This window comes from Homo sapiens, chromosome 11 (assembly GCF_000001405.40).
Source record: "Homo sapiens chromosome 11, GRCh38.p14 Primary Assembly".
Lineage (NCBI taxonomy): Eukaryota > Metazoa > Chordata > Mammalia > Primates > Hominidae > Homo > Homo sapiens.
The window spans coordinates 119,815,176-119,834,313 of record NC_000011.10 but is presented as its reverse complement, the minus strand read 5'-3'; the positions used below and the strand labels follow the sequence as shown (position 1 = coordinate 119,834,313).

The 19,138-nt window shown below is 46.7% G+C and overlaps 1 long non-coding RNA gene and 1 pseudogene across 1 annotated transcript in view; one reads left to right on the top strand and one right to left on the bottom strand.

Annotated features, from left to right (window-relative positions):
• LOC124902771 (uncharacterized) overlaps positions 1-1,432 on the bottom strand; it is a 34,803-nt gene extending 33,371 nt beyond the window's left edge. The window contains exon 1 of the long non-coding RNA XR_007062920.1: positions 1,228-1,432. This is a non-coding gene — a long non-coding RNA (uncharacterized LOC124902771). The remainder of the gene's footprint in view (positions 1-1,227) is intronic.
• Positions 11,994-13,102, top strand: LOC390255 (DExD-box helicase 39B pseudogene; annotated as a pseudogene).

Here is a 19,138-nt window from a genome sequence, read left to right as displayed (position 1 = left end):
TCCTTCAGTTTTCAGTCTAGAATGGGAGGCAGACAGCTGGAAATGTCATGAAACTTCAGGGTGGTCAGTAAAGTGCTCGTGAGGAAAATTGCAGGGTGCAGACAAAATAGATGGCCCCACCTGGGCCATCCTTAGGAGTGAGAATGACCAGACTTGATGGCTACTTGAATGGGGTGGGGACCAAGGGTAACTGGGGAGGGTGAATGAGAAGTATGGGGTTTCTACTTTGGATGCCAGGTACATGGGGAAGCTGTTCACTGAGGTGGGGAATGTAGGAGCCAGAGTACTTTGGAGCACAATGCATGAGTATGATTTGGGCATATCCAGCCTGTCCCAGGTCTGAGTTCTCCTGAGGACAGGATGAAGAGGAGCCAAGGAAGGATTCTAAGAAGAGATACTCATTAAGCTTGATCTTGAATGGCAAATAGCATGGAAGGGTGAGGAAGGAGTATAGTCAAGAATTCCATGGAAGGGCCACAGCTTAGGCAGACGCCTGTAGCATGAAGGAGCAAGGTTTGTTTACAGAACTGCAAGTGGCCGAACTTCGCTAGGGTAGAATGGCACACAGTGTGGACGGAGATAAGGATGGAGAGCCAGGCAGGGGGCCAGAATGCTAAGAAATTTTGACTGACTTAAAGGTAAAGGGAGTCGCCAAAGGGTTTTGTGAAAGAAAATGGCATGGTCAGATTTGTGCTCTGAAAATTCATCACTGAGTCTGGTCGGCTAACCAAGGGCAGCACAGCGGAGCAAGGAGCCGCAGGAACCCAGAGACACTGCGGGCCCTGCTGGTGAGAACGGGCCTCCCATGGGCCTGGGCCCTCCACTCTTTCCTACAGGATCCCCTCTCCCCAGACCTCCTCTGTCTGTCTGTCTGTCTTGCCCACCAGAGGTCTGGGTGGCCCTCATGAAGCAGTCTCCCCTCCGTTGCCTGTATAAGGAGGGCCCCACCAGAGTCAGCCAGGGAATCCAGTGACCTCTCACAGTGGCCTGCACACCCCCGGGATGGGCCTGGGGTAGAGAGCCAGCGGTCAGCACAGGACACCCTCCTTCCTCCAGGAGAGATGCAGACCCCACGCTGGGAGGAGGTCCCCCATCACTCTCTGGAAAAAACCCAAAGTGCCCAGTTACATTAGAATTTCAGGTAAGTAATGGATCATTGTTTAGTGTAAATATATCTCACATATTGTGTGGGACATACCTATATTAATCCATTTATTTGTTGCTTACCTGAAATTCAACTTTAACGAGGCAGCCGGTGACCCGCTCCTTGGCTGTTCTATGAGGGTTGGGAATCCTGGAAAAGGATGGGGGGAATCATGGAGAAATTAATTCCCCAATAGCCAGGGCCCAGCCTACAGCTCCTCACGTCCACCCGGTGCTCTGCAAGGTCTATTTAGGGGGTCCCTGTGCTCCCTGGAAACCCCAGGCTGTGGCCTCAGCTCCCACCCACCCCATATGAAGCACCACTGCCGGAGCTCCCCCACGCCCACTGTCCTTGGCCAGCTCACTAGCAGCGCTGCTCCTGGAGAGTTGCAGCCAATCCAGGCTTCAGCCCTGTCTCCACCCCCATCCCTGCTCCTCCAGTCTGAGAATCCACTTCCTGGTACGCTTTCCTCTGCCCTCTTGAACTGGAGTCCATTTGCTTTCACTCAGCCTGGGTCCAGATGCTTTCAATGAATGAGAACTTCTGGTCCTGCGGTTTTGATTCCAATCTGGAACATTTTCTTTCAAAGCAGGAGCAAGGAAATAGCTGATACCTGCCTTTCTCTTTGTCTACCCTCACAGATCCCTCCAAATGCTATCTTTGCCCCCACCCAGGTCTCTCCTGGGTTCCCAGCCTTTCCAGGGATCCCCAGCCCCATGCTGCCTGGCTGCAGGTTTTATTACCCGTGCTGCCCTCTGCTCCCGCTTAGGCTAATTGAGGCTGGCACATGAGTAGGGGCTGCCAATGGGCTTCCTCTGCACGGGCTCTCAGCCGGCAGAAGGAAGGGACATGATTGCCTCCTTTCCCGACCATTAAGCGGAGCAGCCAACACCACACACAGCTCCTGGCTGAGCAGCAGGGCATGTGGACCAGCAGGGGACATGGGGGCTGGGAGTTCTCCTACCCCAACCCTGCTCAGTTAGCAAAGGCATCAGGGGCTGTGGCTGGCTGAGAGGTCAGGGACAACCAACTGTCAGACTTCCTGCCAGAGGCTCAGCCCAGGCTGTATTCACATGTATCCCTTCCAGCAGACCCCGAGGGCCTCTGGGAAGAGTCCCCTTGCTCCTGGCCCTGGATAGGAGATGGGGAGATCGGCTAGGGTAGCCCAGCCCAGGGACTCTGAGGGGGTTCTCATATAGGATAAAGAAGCAAGGGTCACCCACTCCTGGAACACTGCTCTCCCTCTGCACTCCCATGAACCCCTATACATATACATCTTCCAGAATTTGTCTTAAACTTCTCCTCCTCTGGGCAGACCTCTCTGATGTCCCAAACGAAGTCAGATGTCCCAGTACATATTCTCACAGCACCTTGAGCTTCCCTTTCTTCTCACTCATCAAAATTACAATTACTGCAATAAGGGATGGAATGTACACACAATAACTCAGATTGGTAGGACAAAGTTACTTTATTTTCCATCGCTGACCACTTCTTGATCCAGGTTGTCCATCCCTGCTCACAGTTTGGTGGGTGTGGGGGTCTTAAGGGATGGAGGGGGTGGTGATCAACTTACCATTAAACAGTAATTCCATTTAAAAGTCCCTTTTAGCACTATTTCTTCCATCCTCCTTCCTTGGATGGCCTTGGGATGGGGGAAGTTTGTGTCTCCTTGTGGTGGCCAGGGCAGGGCCCCCAGCCCACCTGCTGTCCTCTGGGTTATTGTCAGCCTCCATGAGCTATTCCCCTGGGCCACCTATCTCTGGGTGTCCAACCTGTTGCCCTCTGGCTGCAGCTGATCTTTTCTGACATCGGATAGCACTCCCAGATGAGGTCCCAGCCTCTCCCACCATCTGCCCTCACGTGTCCTCCTCATCCTAACTCCAGGCCTGTATGTCCACAATTCTTTCACACTTCTGCAATCTCCCCTCTGAGACACACGGAACTCCCAGATCCTCTGCTGTGTTGGATACAGGGCATTGGCAGCCAGGAACACTGATTAAGAACCGCCCTGCACAGCTCCCTCAACCAGGGCTGCACCACGTCTGACCCAGGGCCACGCCAAACCCGGACCTTCTCTGGGAGGTTTGTCTTCATCTCAGGCCACACACAGAAGGCAGTCCACAAGCCCCAATATTCTCAGGTCCCCCACACCTACCTGGGAATATTTATTTCTCACCTGTCCCTGCTCTGAAGTTTGACCCAGTGAGGGTGACATGGAGGAAGAAGGAGGCTCACAGCCTCCCCTACCTCCCAAGAAGCCAGGAAGAGCTGTCCCATTCCTGCTGTTGGGGGATCCCTTTGGGTTTCCCAAAATGCTTCCTGTACAGCTTGCAGAACCCTGAGCCCAAATATACCTCCTTTTTTAAATAAATTACCCAGCCTCAGGTATCACTTTATAGCAATGCAAACGGACAAACACAAAGCCCTAGCTTAAAGCTATGCCCAGGCCTCCAAGCTTGGTGCTGCTGATGCAAAGAGTTGTTTCATAAATGTAACAAAAAGCATTTTATCTCTACAAATTAAGCTGTCAAGACCATGGTTTCACGAAGGCCTTTTAAAAGCCACGCAGTGACCTCTTTGTTCCAGAATCACTCAGTTTCTTTTATGCTTTCTTGAATATGAAAGAAAGGTGAGGGGTGACAGCTTTCAAACTCAGTTTTTAAAATAACCTTAGCAGCTCACTGCAAAGGTGAACCATTGCTCACGTGCAACTCGTGAAGAAGAGGTGGTGGATCCCTGAATCCGGTGATATCCCAAGGCCCTCCCAGTTCTGCCAGTCAGTGGTGGTTATGACCTAGCAAAGGAGCAAGATCAATATACAAACAACTGCAGTGTAAGGCAGGGCCCATCGAGTGCTACAGAAAGGTGCAAGGGCCCTTAGAAGTCGAACAGAGAAGAGGATTCATCAATTAGAGTGTGAGTTCTCAACATTTTTTTTTTAGCCTATGACCCCAGCAATGCTTTCTCTTGCTGTCTGAAGTATAATTCCATTAATCCAGAGCAGTTTGTTAACCTAACTTTTGGCAGTTTATGGACAAAAACAATAGACATGTTGAGTATGACTTTTCAAACTACACATTTTCTCATGCCACCCACCCAACCACAATTCACACAGATTCAGATGAAGCTCCCGCAGGAGGAAGAGGGTTTTGGGTGGATTATTAAAGTCAGGGGAGGCTTCAGGGGTGGTGTTGAGGCAGGGCTTGAGAGATGAGTGACATCCAAACAGATAGGAGTGGGAGTTTCCAGGCAAAGGGACCCCCAGTAAGTAGATGGGCAGGGGAGGAGAGGGGTGGTGTGCTGGAGTCTGGCTGGCAGTGGGGTACACAGAGGGGAGCAGTGGAAGATGAGTCCAGGAGGGTCGGTCTTGGATCCCAGTCTGGGGAATCTGTACCTGGAGCTGAAAGGTGCTCTGAAGACTGACTCGGGGCTGAGCAGGGAGAGTTTGCCCAGCTGAGTGGAAAGGGCCTGACCTTCCAGAATGTGGATTCTCTGGCCTTTTACTCCTCCCTCCTTCCCTCCCCCTACCAGCCTGACCCTGGGGACTGAGTTAAGCTTCTGGGAGAGGAGTTCATCTGAAGCCCAGTCTTCCCCTGGAACCCTGCCCAACGCAGGCCTGCAGATACACTCTGCAAAAGCTTTCACGAGGCCTGTAGCTGAAAGAACAGAAGGAATCAAATGTAAAGATATTATACTGTCCACTGTATATAACAGAAAATCAAACTCAAAATTACTTAACCAATAGGAAATCTATTGACTCATGAAATTGGAATCCCCAGGGGAAATGTCAGCTTCAGGAGGAGTTTCACCCAGAGGTTGGTAATGTCTCATAATCCTTGGCTACATTGCTTTGTGATTCTCTCCACTCTCCTTTTCTAATGTATCAGGCCCATTCTCAGATTGAATTCCCTCACAATAGCAAAATGTGTGCTAGCACCTCCGGGGTCACATGCTTCCTTTTTCATAACCACGGAGGTTTAAAAGGCTTTTCTTACTCCCAACTTTTACCACAAATCCCAACTTTCTCTCTGATTGGACCAACTTACATCACAAGGTAGCTCTCAAGCCAATCACCATGGCCAAGAGAATCCTATGCATTGATTGGCTTGGTGCTGGGTTATATGCCTTTTCCTTACCCAATCACTGAGGCCAGGGAAGGTAAGAATACTGTCATTGGCTTAGCCCATTAGGGACCAACCCAGAAGTTGAGTCCTGCTCAGGTAACATGGCTGCTCTGCAGTGAGAGAGGGGTGAATGGATGCTGGGGAAGTAGACAACACTGCAGTCCAACACAGATGTCTATTTTGCTTTTCTCATGAAAGGCTGGGTGAGCGAGAGAAGAGATTAGAATTAGACTTAGACTGTGGAGAGTAATTTGAAGGCCACCCATAGACTTAACTCTCCCATATCCCCAAGGTCACACAAAATTGTGGGTTGGCTATAATATATTCTTTCATCTTTCCTTCTCTTTCCTTTTTCTCTTCAATCTCTCTTTTCCCTCCCTTTTCCCCCTCTAGTGTTTCCTTATCCCCTGGCTTGCCTGACTTCTTTTCTTTTTTCCATTCCTTCCCATCTCTCTGTCATCACAGTGCTGTATTGCCCCTCAATCCTGAATGTCTCCACCGCCTGGGTCTTTTATCTCAGGCTCATCCTTCCCTCCCTGCGCACATCTCCAGCCACCCTCTCCTGATGCCTCTGAGTTCAATTTCATCTCCTCCAAATTGCTTTATTGGTTCTACAGAAAAACAAGGCTAGCTAGAGCCATTATGGGTGCATACGGTGTGCATTAGACTCAAAAAAATATTTAAGGAAAATACTGTGGTAAATGGAATCAATAAACTCCACATCACACTTTCACCAGGAAGAGGGAGAAGGCTACCTCCAGCTAAGTGCGCCAGGAAACTGCTCACCATTCAGCAGCAAGAGCTGGAGGCTGCTTCACTGCCCCTCCCACAGTGCACATTGGTCTGAGCAAGCTGTGGACTCCTAGTACTCCAGCCTCCCTCTTTCCCAGCTGCACCTGGCTCTGACCACACCTCGCCTCTCCCCTCCCCGTCCTCACTTCTCCTCTCTGCTGCTGAAGATCCCAATGGCTTCCGCACGAACCCCCTTCCCCCAGAGTGTAGTCGATCAGCGGTGCTGATGAAGAAAGGGACACGATGATGAGGAGAGAGGGAAGAGGACTGGGGGAACAGAGGCATTTGCATTGTGGTGTTTTTAGACCCAATGGTGAAATCTTTCATAATTGTAATTTTTTCTTGAAAGAAAATGAGAGTTTGATGGGTGGTGCTTGTGCCCTACCTCCTCTTTGTGCTCTCCCTGCAACAGACAGGGAAGACAAGAGGAAAGAGCAACACAGAAAAGAGAGGAGAGCAAATCAGAGGGGAATTTGTCCTACAAAACTGGGGTCTCCAAGAGCCTTCCACCTGCCCCCAAAGCTTTGGTATGGTGGATTTCAGGAAGGATGAACTGAGGCTAAGGTCACACTGGGAATCTGGGCTGTCTCCCAAGCACTGGGTCGCCCTGGAGTCCTGTTTGCTATGAGAGAGGGAAGAACATGACTATAGGAATCAGCTTCCTTTAACAACACTTTTATCACATCCCTAGTCTATCCAAGTGCTTTCGCATACTCTCCAGTGCCTTTTGGATTAAAAAGCAGCTAGTACTCCCAGGTCCTGCAGGAGAAGGATCCCTTCCTCCAGAAGGGTATCCCCTTCTGGGCCTTCCACCTACTGATATTCCCCCAAAACCTCTCAGGAACCTTATTCTACCCCGTGCAACTTAATGAGCTGACCTTCCCCCACACCATGTCCTGTGAGAGTGCTGCCTCTCACACAAAACACAGCGGCAGGACTCCACCCAGGAGAGCTCTAGGGGGAGAGGGGAGGAGCAAGTGGGGAGAAGCAGCAAACCAGAGGGCAAGACACCTGAAACAGAGCCCTAACTCTACCACCAACTGCATGAATTTAAACAACCACTACCAATGAAGACCTCAGTTTTCCCAAATTACAATAAAGGGGTGAATAGATCAAAGGATTTTAGGCTAGGATCCAGGGATCCCCTGAATTTGCACTGTTGTTTGTAAGTGTGCTTTTCTGGTAACAGGCTTCATTGCAACCTCAAAGGGGTCTAAGAGCCCAAAAAGTTGAGAGAGAGCCATAGAGGGTGCTAGTGGCCAAGTTTACATGTGGCTCAAGTGTTCTAAGCCTTCCCAAATCCCCAGGTGGGATAGCTGCTCAGAGTCCTGGCTTTGTACCCTGAAGATGTACCTTGGAATGCCCTCCTTAATGCCCACGTGTCACCTTTACAGGACTGCTGTGTCACCTTTCTCTGCAGCTGATACCAGCATACTCTTCCTTTTAGTATAGTTTAGGCAGGCTCCTTTTATTACAATAAATCTTATTGAAAATGAATAAAACAAAAATAACATTAAGTTGGTCAGGTTCTCAAAAATCCTACCAATTCCACTCAAAGTAGCAAAGCTGCTGAGTTGGAGTCCAAATTACCTCTTCCTAGAGTGACTGCTATCTTCACAGATGGGCCAACATCTTCATAGGCACTAGTTTTGGTCATTTCCCATCAAACGACCTTTGTCCCCAAACCAGCCTCTAATTCCCATCATCATAGGCTCCAGGTGCCATGTTGCCTCTGGGCACCCAGACACTAAACTCCCTAAACATCTTGCCTCATTCAAGGGCAAACATTTTCTTTAAAACTAAGACTTTCACCTGGGTACAGTGGTGCATGCCTGTAATCCCAGCTACTTGGGACTATGGGGTGGAAGGATAGCTTGAGCCCAGGAGGTCAAGACCAGCTTAAGCAACATAGCAAGACCCTGTCTCTAAAAATTAAAAAAAAAAAAATGAAGACTCTTCATTTTCTGATCAAATGCCAATTACAGTGACTCAAGCCTCTTAGGTGCTCAAAAAATAGATATTGAATTGATAAGTAAGTGAACAAATGAATCAATTTGTAAATTAGTGAAGTAAATGAATGAAAGCTTCACTTCTGTTACTCTCCCAAATCCCATTTCTCCTAGGCTAGAGACCTCTGGCTCAATTCCCATATAGGCCCAGTGATTTGCGAGTCATTTCTGACCCCTCTGAGCCAGTGAATGGCTGAACCCTCCTGTGTCTGGTACAGATCAATCCACCACTGAACCCTTCTTGAACAATAAACTGATGTCTTTCCTCTGTAATAGAAAATTTAAATATTTCTTCCACCTGGTTTTCTCTCTCTCTTCTTTCTCCTTTCATCTGAGACTTCAATTAAATATACGCTAGGCTTTCTCATTTTGTCCTCCTTGTCTTTTACCCTCTTTTCTGTATTTTCCATCTTTTTTTCTCAGTGCTACACTGAACAGTTTCATCTGACCTTAATTCCAATTCAGTAATTTTCTCTTTAGCTGTGTTTAATCTGCTTTAAAACTCACCCATCAATTTCTTAATTTTAGCTATTGCATTTTAGTTCTAGAATTCCTTTTTTAAAAATTTGTTATGTATTTAATAGTTTTCAGTTCCCTGCTGAAGTTTTCAAGCTGGTGTTTTTTATTTCTTTGAACATAGTAAGCATAGTTATTTTATAGTCTATGTCTGATAATTCCAATATCTGAAGCCTGCATGACTCTGTTTCTATTGTCTATTGTTTCTACTGGTACTTGGTCAAAGTGTCTTGTTCCCTTATGTGTTGGTCATCTTAGAATGTGTGTATGACGTTCACCTCACCCCAGCTACTATGTCCCTAATCTCCTCAGAGAACTTTGAGGATGGAGGACATAACTTCAACGGGCTGCTATTCCTGTCAGGATGCCATTTCACATTGTTGTTCCAAGTCCAGTTGGAAAACTACTCAAAGAGGTCTGAAACTGGGACCCACTCTTGTCAATACCTGTCCCACTCTTGGAAAGTACTGAAGTGTGCTTGAGGGTTGTGGGGGCAGTGGGGATGGAGGAGCGGTAAGGTAAGAGACTTCTGGGAGACTTCTTCCCACTTCATCACAAACACCAAACCATGGTCCCACCCAAAGGCATCAGCATCACCTCCTGAGCAACCATAGAAGAGGAGACTTTCAACCAAGCTTGCCTGGACAAGGCAAGGATGAAATCAGGCTTCAGAGGTTGCAAAACTGTCACCTGGCAGAGTAACATTCAGTCTGTTAATGTATTTTATTCATGTATTCATTTGTTGTTTTAAAGTACTGCTCAGAACCAGCAGATTTAGACCAACTTTTAGAAATCAGGAAATGTAGCTTCTCTTTAAAGATCAGAGGTTCTGATAACACTGAGCCCTGATACCAGGAGGTAACAATTGGCTGGAGCTGAGAAGCAGCCATCCCTGAGAAGCAAGTGCTCTTCAGGAGCTGCATTTACCACCACTCAGGCAACAAACAAATTTGCACTTATTCTGCCCACTTCACTTAATTACTGCCTAGCCCTGTAAGAATTTAATTTTTCAGTCCTTGACCTAGAGAAAAGACAGTGTGTAATTCCGATCCCTAGGAGTTTCCAAGACTGAGACAGACAGCACACAGTCAGTAGAGCAAGAGATCAGAGAGGCAGGGGAAATCTCAGAGGCTCCTGCTGACCCTGGGGGAATGTGCCACAGGGTCCGCCCGGCCCCTCCCCAGGTTCCTGGCAAGGCCTCCCTGCCTAGGCCAGGTGACTGTGTCTAATGCAGCCTGGCCATTTCCTGTGAGACCAACCTTGGGCAAATCATTTAACGTCTCTAAGCCTCTATTTCCTCATCTGTAAAATGAGAATGGTCATAGTTCCAGATCCATAGGATTGTTGTGAAGTTCAATGAGGTAATGGATGAAAAAGCCCTAGCATAACATCCCATAGATAACAGGGATGTCTGCTGCTTCTCCCCACCCTGCCTACTCTCACCCTCCCTGGGTGCCCTCAGTATCAGAGACTGCAAGGGCCAGAGTCACCATCATCCTCTTTGATGTATAAATGATGAAATCAAGGCCCAGAGAGAGGGAGGTTCCCCTAGATGCTGCAGTGTGAGCATCCACCCTTGGTCCAAAGATACGAATCTGTCCAGGCCAACTTAGGCTCAAAGAAGGGACCAATCACAGCCAGGACTGAGGTGAGGTAGGAAGGAAGGCTTCCTGGAGGTGGCGAACTCTAAGCAGGATTTGGAAGGAAATGTGGAACTCAGATTGGCAAGGAAAGGGGTTTTCTTATATGCTGCTCCCCATAACCCACATTTTGAGTCACCAAAACTGAAAGCATTTTACTGTCTTTGAGCTCCAAACAATAGTCCCTAACCCCATCCTTACCCAACTGCCCTGTCCCAACAAATGGACTCAAAATACCCTTACCTGCTCTCCTAGTTCTAACTAGAACTAGGAGACAGACAGACAGACACACACACACACACACACACACACACACACACACACACACAGAGAGAGAGAGAGAGATGTTTGTCTTCTCCTCTTGTGGGACCCTTTCACCACCAGCTCATTTTTCCAGTGGAGAATCCGCAAACTGATACAAACTCAAGACATTCCATATCAGAATTAAGTTTTCTCTGAGGCAGTGATCAAAGCGATCTTATTTACCAAGGAAATTAAGAAGGCTCCAGGAGGAATTGCCATCTAGAACCAAACTCATCAAACTCAGGTGCTTTCCTTTGTTTTTTTCTAATGAGTTTTAAGCTGGGCTCCCCTTGGGACACCGAGCAAAGCCTGCCGCTTCCTGAAGTTCCTTCCTTCCCACTTCCTACCACTCTTCAGCCAGGCTCTCAGGACCCTCTCAGTCAACCCACCCTCTCCCTGCACCTCCCAGAGAGCTCCCCTCACCTTCCAGACTTCTCCTTGGGCTGCTGTCTCCTTACCATCTCCTCGACTGCTTCAGCTGCCACCACCAACATGCACACACACACACGTGCACACACACACGTGCACACACACATGTGCATGCACACACGTGCACACACGTGCGCACACACATGTGCACGCACACACGTGCACGCACACACGTGCACACACACAGGCACACACATACGTGCATGCACACACACTCTGCGTTCGCCACTCGTGGGGTTCTCTCTCTGCCTTTGTGGCAATATGGCTTCCCTCTTCCCTTCCACTGGAACCACTATGGCCCAAGCCATGGTCAGTTCTCTGTCCTTATCTTCTCTGACCTCTCAGTGGCCTTTGACCCAAGAGAACCCCCTTCCTTCTGGAAACACTCTCTCCTCTGGGCTTCCCTAACCTCCACTGGCCTGGTTCTCCCCTCTCCAACTCCTTCTCAGTCCCGTTGTCAGACATCTTTCCCTGACCTCAAAATGCTGGAACGGGAGGTTCTCAGGCTAACTGCAGTTTTACCACATCCTCACCAACACTGCATCTTATTTTTATTTTTAAAAATCTTTGCTAATCTGAAGGCAAAATACTGTTTTGTTGTTTAAATTTCTATTTCTTTCCTGTAGGATGACTCGCTAGGGCCTTGCTGTAGGCCATGGCAAAAAGTTTGGGCTTTCTTCAGAACTCCAACAGAGGAGTCGCATAATTCAATTTTCATCTTCACAAGTCCCTCTGGCTGGCGAGAGGAGGCTGGACTGAAAGGAGACAAGGACAGCAGTGCCGGCAAGAGAGGAGAGTCGCATGGGCTGGGGAGGCAGTGCAAGGCTGAGAAACGGAGGGACCTGCATGGGATGGCAGCGAGGGTGCTGGAATGAGGGGAGGGGGAATCAGGGATGACCCTTGGGTTTTCAGCCTTAGTAACCGGAAAAGTAGTAACAGCTACCACTTACAGGGGATGGCCGTGCATCAGATGCTGCTGCACGGGTTATGCATGTTTTCATCCACTTCTGCTCCTCCACTCTGGGGAACAGGCGCTGTTGGCTTCCCAAGCCATGGTCGGTTCTCTAAATATATGCCCAATGTCAAGGTTGCTGTATTTTTTGGTGGTCTATCAAGAAGGATGAAGAGGTGCTGAAGAAGAACTGCCTGCATATCGTCGTGGGGACTCCAGGCCGTATCCTAGCCCTGGCTGGAAATAAGAGCCTCAACCTCAAACACATAAAACACTTTATTTCAAATGAATGTGATAAGACGTTTGAACAGCTCAACATGTGTCGGGATGTCCAGGGAATTTTTCGCATGACCCCACCGTGAAAAGCCGGTCATGATGTTCAGGGCTACCTTGAGCAAAGAGATCCGTCCAGTCTGCCACAAGTTCATGCAAGATCCAGTGGAGATCTTCATGGATAATGAGATGAAGTTGATGCTGCATGGGTTGCAGCAGTACTACATGAAACTGAAGGACAACCAGAAGAACTGGAAGCGCTATGACCTTCTGAATGTCCTTGAGTTCAACCAGGTGATGATCTTTTTGAAGTCTGTGCAGCGGCGCATTGCCTCAGCCCAGCTACTGGGTGGAGCAGAACATCCCAGCCATTGCCATCCACCGCGGGATGCCCCAGGGCAGAGGCTGTCTCAGTATCAGCAGTTTAAAGATTTTCAATGGTGAATTATTGTGGCTACCAACCTATTTGGCCAAGGAATGGACATTGAGCGGGTGAACATTGCTTTTAATTATGACATGCCTGAGGATTCTGACACCTACCTGCATTGGGTGGCCAGAGCCAGCCGGTTTGGCACCAAGAGCTTGGCTATCACATTTGTGTCTGACGAGAATGATGCCAAGATCCTCAATGACATGCAGGATCGCTTTGAGGTCAATCGTAGTGATCTGCCTGATGAGAGAGACATCTTCTCCTGCTTTGAAAAGACATGGTAAAGGACATGGTAGAGGACACATTGCAGAATATGACCGTCTGTCCTTCAGGAGAGGACACATCAGGGTGGGGGTGAAGGAGACACCAGTGCCCCCACCCCTGACAGCCCCCACCCCATGGCTTCCTTCTTTTGCATCACCACCACTCCTGAACCCCCATTTCTGATTTGTCAGAATGGTTTTTTAACAAAACTAAAAACAAAAAATATATATAGATAATATTATATATTATACTTATTTATTATATGCTATATAATATACATATATATATATTAGACTCATATTATATACGGTAAATATTTCATAGTTGAGGGCACTGAGCCCAGCAAGGCCGTGCCAGAGCCAGAATTCCAACCCTGGGGGTCTGGCTCCAGAATCCACACTCCCCGTAGCGACACTAATGGCCTCTATTGAAAGGTTTGAGCACTTAGTGAGATGGAGAAGACTAGGGGTGGAGGGGGGTGGTCCCAGGGTGGGAACCCCCAGGGTCGGGGCCCAGGCATCTGCATTCTTCAGCCTCCCAGTGGCCTAACCACAGGCAGGGTGTGCATAATACTCATACTATTGAGGGCTTCCAGAAACATGCAAAGAGGCAGGGGAACAGAAGAGGAAGATCTGAGCTGGTTTTAGGAAGCTTCTTCAAGGGCAGGAGGGTCTTAAGCTGAGACGGGGAGCTCTGTCTACACAGAGATGCAGATTTAACACTCACTTTGTCTAACCCTTTCCTCCTCCACATGCCTTCCTTTCTCACTCACACACCTGCCCCTTGCCTCTTTGAGAGAGATTTACTTTATTAATTAAAAAATAACTATGCTTTTTTTTTTGATGGAGCCTCACTCTGTCGCCCAGGCTGGAGTGCAGTGGTGTGATCTCAGCTCACTGTAACCTCTGCTTCCCAGGTTCAAGTGATTCTCCTACCTCAACCTCCCAAGTAGCTGAGATGATAGGCATAAAAAATAACTGTTTTCTTAATTATAAAAGTAGATGCTTGTTAGACATTTGAGAAACACTGAAATGTAGGAAAAAATTCAAATAACCCACAGTTCACCCAGAGAGTTGCCGCTGACATTTCCGTGTTTATTTTAGATAGAAAAACACCACTTTTTTCAACCAGCATCATAATATACATTGAGTTTTGTGTCCTGATTTTTTTCACTTAAGATACAATGTAAACATCTTCCTGTGTTGTTCAATATTCTTCTAAAACAACAATTCGCATAACTACATGGCACCCCTGGTCTGTGGGCGCCATCATTTAACCAGCCCTCTCGTGGTGAACATTTATGTTGTTTCCAGGGTTTTGTCTTTATAACTAAGCCCGTAATGAATTCCGTGTGTATGTAAACTGCTGCATGCATTTGATTATCTCCTGGAGTGGCCTTGCTCATCCTGACTTTTGTAAGGTGTTTGATGCACGTCCCTTGCCAAAGCCCTCATCCCAGCCCCTGTCACCTCTCACCTTCCCTGCTGCCATAGGCACCCACCTGTCCTTCCTGCTTCCTCTATTAACCGCCCCTGGCAAGTCATGGCAAGAGGACTCCTTGAGCTCAGGAAGTTCAAGACTAGACTGAGCAACATGGCAAAACCCTGTCTCTACAAAAAATACAAAAACTAGCCAAGCATGGTGGCACACACCTATAGTCCCAGCTACTTGGGAGGCTGAGGTATGAGGATTGCTTGAGCACAGAAAGCAGAGGTTACAGTAAGCGGAGATTGCACCACTGCACACCTGGGCGACACAGTGAGACTCTGTCTCAAAAAAAAAAAAGAGTGGGGTCAGGGGAGAGCATTAGGGAAAAGAGCTAATGCATGTGGGGCTTAATACCTAAGTGATGGGTTGATAGGTGCAGCAAACCACCATGGCACACGTTTACCTATGTCATGAACCTGCACATCCTGTGCATGTACTCTGGAACTTAAAAAAATAATAATTTTTAAAAAAAGATTTAAAGGTTCTAGAGATCTACTGTACAACATTGTGCAGTTAACAATACTATACTGTATACTTAAAATTTTTAAAGAGGGTAGATCTCATGTTATATGTTTTTAAAATAACAATAAATAATAATTTTACAAAACGGCGGCAGTTTTCAAAAAAAAAAGCAGTAAGGGCAGATTGTGTGTGCTGCCCCTGCTGAAAACCCAGGAGGGCCCCCAACACCCGAGGCAAGTCAGCATTTGCAATGCATCGCCCACCTGCCAATTTCTCCTACTGCTTCCCGTCATGCTCCCCTCACCCGCTCTGCCTCTCTGGCCTCTTCTCAGCTCACCAAAAATCTCTGCCACTGCAGGACCTTTGCACATGCTGTTCCATCTGCCAGTGACATCTTATTCTCTTCCTGTGGCTTGTTTCTTCTCTAGTATTTGTGACTCAGCTCAAAGCTGCCTCCTTGGAAAAGCCTTCGCTGACCTCCCTTCACTCACCCTCTCCCCTCAGCTCCGCGTGTGTGTGTGTGTGTGTGTGTGTGTGTGTGTGTGTGTGTGTGTGAGAGAGAGAGAGAGTGAATGTTTAAGGCATTTTTTTTTTTTGAGATGGAGTCTTGCTCTGTCACTTAGGATGGAGTGCAGTGGCACAACCTCCACCTCCCAGGTTCAAGCGATTTTCCTGCCTCAACCTCCTGAGTGGCTGGGACTACAGTTGCGTGCCACTAGGCCCAGCTAATTTTTGTATTTCCAATAGAGACAGAGTTTCACCACACTGGCCAGGCTGGTCTCGAACTTCTGACATCAGACAATCTGCCTGCCTTGACCTCCCAAAGTGCTGGGATTACAGGCGTGAGCCACGATGCCCAGCTCCTTCTTAAGGCTCTTTACATTTTGTAAATATTTAGTTGCATTTTGATGTGTTAATTTCAAGTTTCCCCTGATAAATGGTACAATCTGTGGGGGCAAGGACTTAGTTTCAGTCGATGCTATCCTCCCAGGTTCTAACCTAGTGCTTGGCAAAAAGTAGGTTCTCAGAAAACATCATCCAATTGTCTTCTAAAAAGGTTGCACTCACCTACCCTTCCGCCAGGAATGCATGAGAATGCAGTTTCACTAAATCCTCACCAGCATCAGGCATGATGCTTTAAAAGCAATCTTTGCTAATCTGATGGCAAAAATAATAGCTGACTATTTAGATTTGCATTATTTTGACTATTAGTGAGGTTGAACATTTTTAATGTTTACCAGTCTTCTTTCGTGATCAATAATAAAAAGGCCTGTTCATGACCTCATTCTTAAAGCTGTTCCAGAAAAGGGCCTCAGCTTCTGAACTCTTCTAGAAGTAAGCATTTATTCCTGAAGTCTAACCTCAATCCTTCCTGCTGCTGTTTCCTTTTTTAGCTTCCTCTTATTGAGCTCCTTGTGGGGCTGGCGAGAAAGCACATAAATGCCCTGTCATTCGGCATCCCTCTCTTGCCTCTTCTGCCCAGCGTGGTGGAGCAAAGCCTGCATGTGTCCCCCTCCCAACACCCCCAAGCTCTGAGTGGCAAATTAAACGATTCGATTCAAGAAGACAGGCTGCTCTGGTGAGATGCAATCGTCTCTGACTAAAATCTCTTTCTCAGATATATAATGGTCTAATCAATATTAATAGAGAGGCTTATCTGTTTTCCTCATCTCCTATGTCCTTAAGAGTAGATAAAATGCTTGTAAAATAGGGTCCTATTCAGCATATACTGATTGCTTCCAAAACGCATTTTCTTGAGATCTGTCATCAAGTGAGAGTCATTACTGAGCAGCTAGGCCCAGCACCACCGTTGACAAATATGGGGAAGATTCTTTGATTATTTGGCCCAACATGTGATTTAAGGGCTGCAGCTTCTTTGGCTTCCAAATTTGTTCTTGTCTGTCCTACAGGGGGATCTTGGAAGCTGGACGAGTTTTAGATAAATGGAGGTTGAGAGGAGGGGAGGCTTAGGAGCAGGCTCTGGAACTGAAGTGCCATCTTGCCTTCTTGAGAGGAGACCACAGGGCCTTGGGAGGTGAGTAAGTGCCCTGTCCCTGGCGGTAAGGAAGGAGCAGTGAACAGACACCCCTGGTATCCCATATCGGAGGCCCATCTCCACGGGGAGGAGAAGCCAGAAGAGGACAGGAAAGCTTCAGAATTTGGGTGGCTGGGGAGGTCAGTTGGGCCATGGGCAGGGTTGTGTTGAGAGCAGAGGCCTGGACTTGGCATCCCAAGGCACGTGTCGTGATCGGCTTTGCCACTAATTAACTGTGTGAGCCTGGGTAAGTCACCCAGACTCTTTGAGCCGTTTTGTTTGTCCTTAATCTAGGAAGAGCCCAGTGCCTTCCAGACTCAAGTTCTCATCCCTCACTCACCCCAATTTTCATAACGGTGCAACTCAGCAAGTGGTTCATACAGTGTGCATAAAAAATCATCAGAGTAGCAAAACAGAAAATTAGAACCAACTTTAAAATCCACAAATGACTAAGCAAGCTGCAAACATGTGGTCTGACCCAGTTTATCACATATGACATGCATAACATGTAATCCAGTGCAACCATTTACATGGAGGTCTATATGTACCGACACAAAAAGTCCACCAAGTCATATTGCTGGGTGGAAAAGCAAGTTGCAGAATGACTCATACACTGTGAGGGATGGGGAGAAACAGAACACAGTGCATGCATGTCTGCAAATGCTTAAAGAAAGTCTGAAAGGATGTAAAAAGCTGATAACAGCGGTTACTTCTGAGTTACCCCCTGCAGGGAAGGGGAAATGATCAAGATGGGCAGAGAGGGTCAAAGGGATTTTTAGCATTCTCTGTAATTCTTTGAATTTTTAAAAGGGGGAAGGCATTCATCCATTTCTTGTATAAATAGTAATTGTTAATAAAGACACTTAGGTAAATTGAGTTTCCACATGGAAAGATGTTTATCTTCATCCCCTATCCCACATCATCAACAACAACAAAAAATCCCAGATGGATCACAGACTTAAGTGTCAAAGGCCTAATAATGAAGCTTTTAGAAGGAAACGGAATGTTTTCAAGAGGTGGTGGTAGGGAAAAAAAAATTTGAACAGGATCTAAAAAGCATTAACTAGAAAGAAAAAAGCCAATAAGTTAGATTATGTTAAAATTAAGAAATCTTCAAAGAGAAGATTCCTACTCCCAGTGTAAAGCTGATGGCCGACTGGCAACCGTGGGAGGAGAGCCAGAGTTGGAAAATCATCGTTCTGGAACGATCGCAGTAAAGATCGGTTCAGGCAAGAATCATCAGTGGATGCTAAATCCAGAGGACATTTTGATGAGAAGCAGAATATTTGCATGGCCTCAACCTGCACATCCCCACTGGTTGCTTATTAGTTTCAAGGGAAAAAAATTGTAACTATACAATGGAAAAACGACACCACCTTGACAGGCTGATTAAAATTAACATCAGTCATGAGGGACATTGTGTGGCTCCAGGTGTCCGACCCTAAGAAGGACATATCATTTATATATTATTCCATTCAGCAATGCAGTATTACCTCTAATCATAATAAAATATCAGACAAACAAAAAGAGGAATGTTCTATTTAAAAGGGAAGTGGGGGAGAGACTGCATTCTTCAAAATGTCAATGTCATAAAAGACAAAGAAAGGCTATGATGTGTTCCCAATTAAAGGAGACTAAGGAGGCATGACAACTAAGTCCAATACCTGATCCTAGATAGGATTCTGTATTGGAAGGGAAAATGATAAAGTACATTATTAGATCAACTGAAAAAAATTGGAACACAGAAGATCAGATCAAAGTATTGTATCAATGTGAAATTGACTGAAGCTGATAACTGTAGTATGGTCACATAAGAAAATATTCCTAAGAAATGTATATTTACATGCTGACCTATTTGGGAGTAAAGAGTTGCCATGTATGCAACTTACTCTGCAATGGTTCAGAAAAACGTGAGTGTGTGTGTGTGTGTGTTTGTGTGTGTGTGTATAGAGAGACAGGTATGGAAAGAGGGTACAAATAATAAAGCAAATGGTGTAAAATGGTAACAAAAGGTGAATCTGAGTTAAGGCTATTATAGAACTCTTGTACTACTTTTATTCTCGTAACTTGTCAGTGAATTTGAAAATATTCCAAAATAACTTTAAAAATAGAGAGTGAAACAGCAAATACTCTCTGGAGTATTTGCTCCAGAGAGCAAAAAATGGAATAAAATATTTGCAATACAGATGTCCAACAAGGAATTCATAATCAGAATATAAAAAGAATTCCTACAAACAAGAAAAAGATAAATTATCCACTAAAAAAAAAATGGGCAAA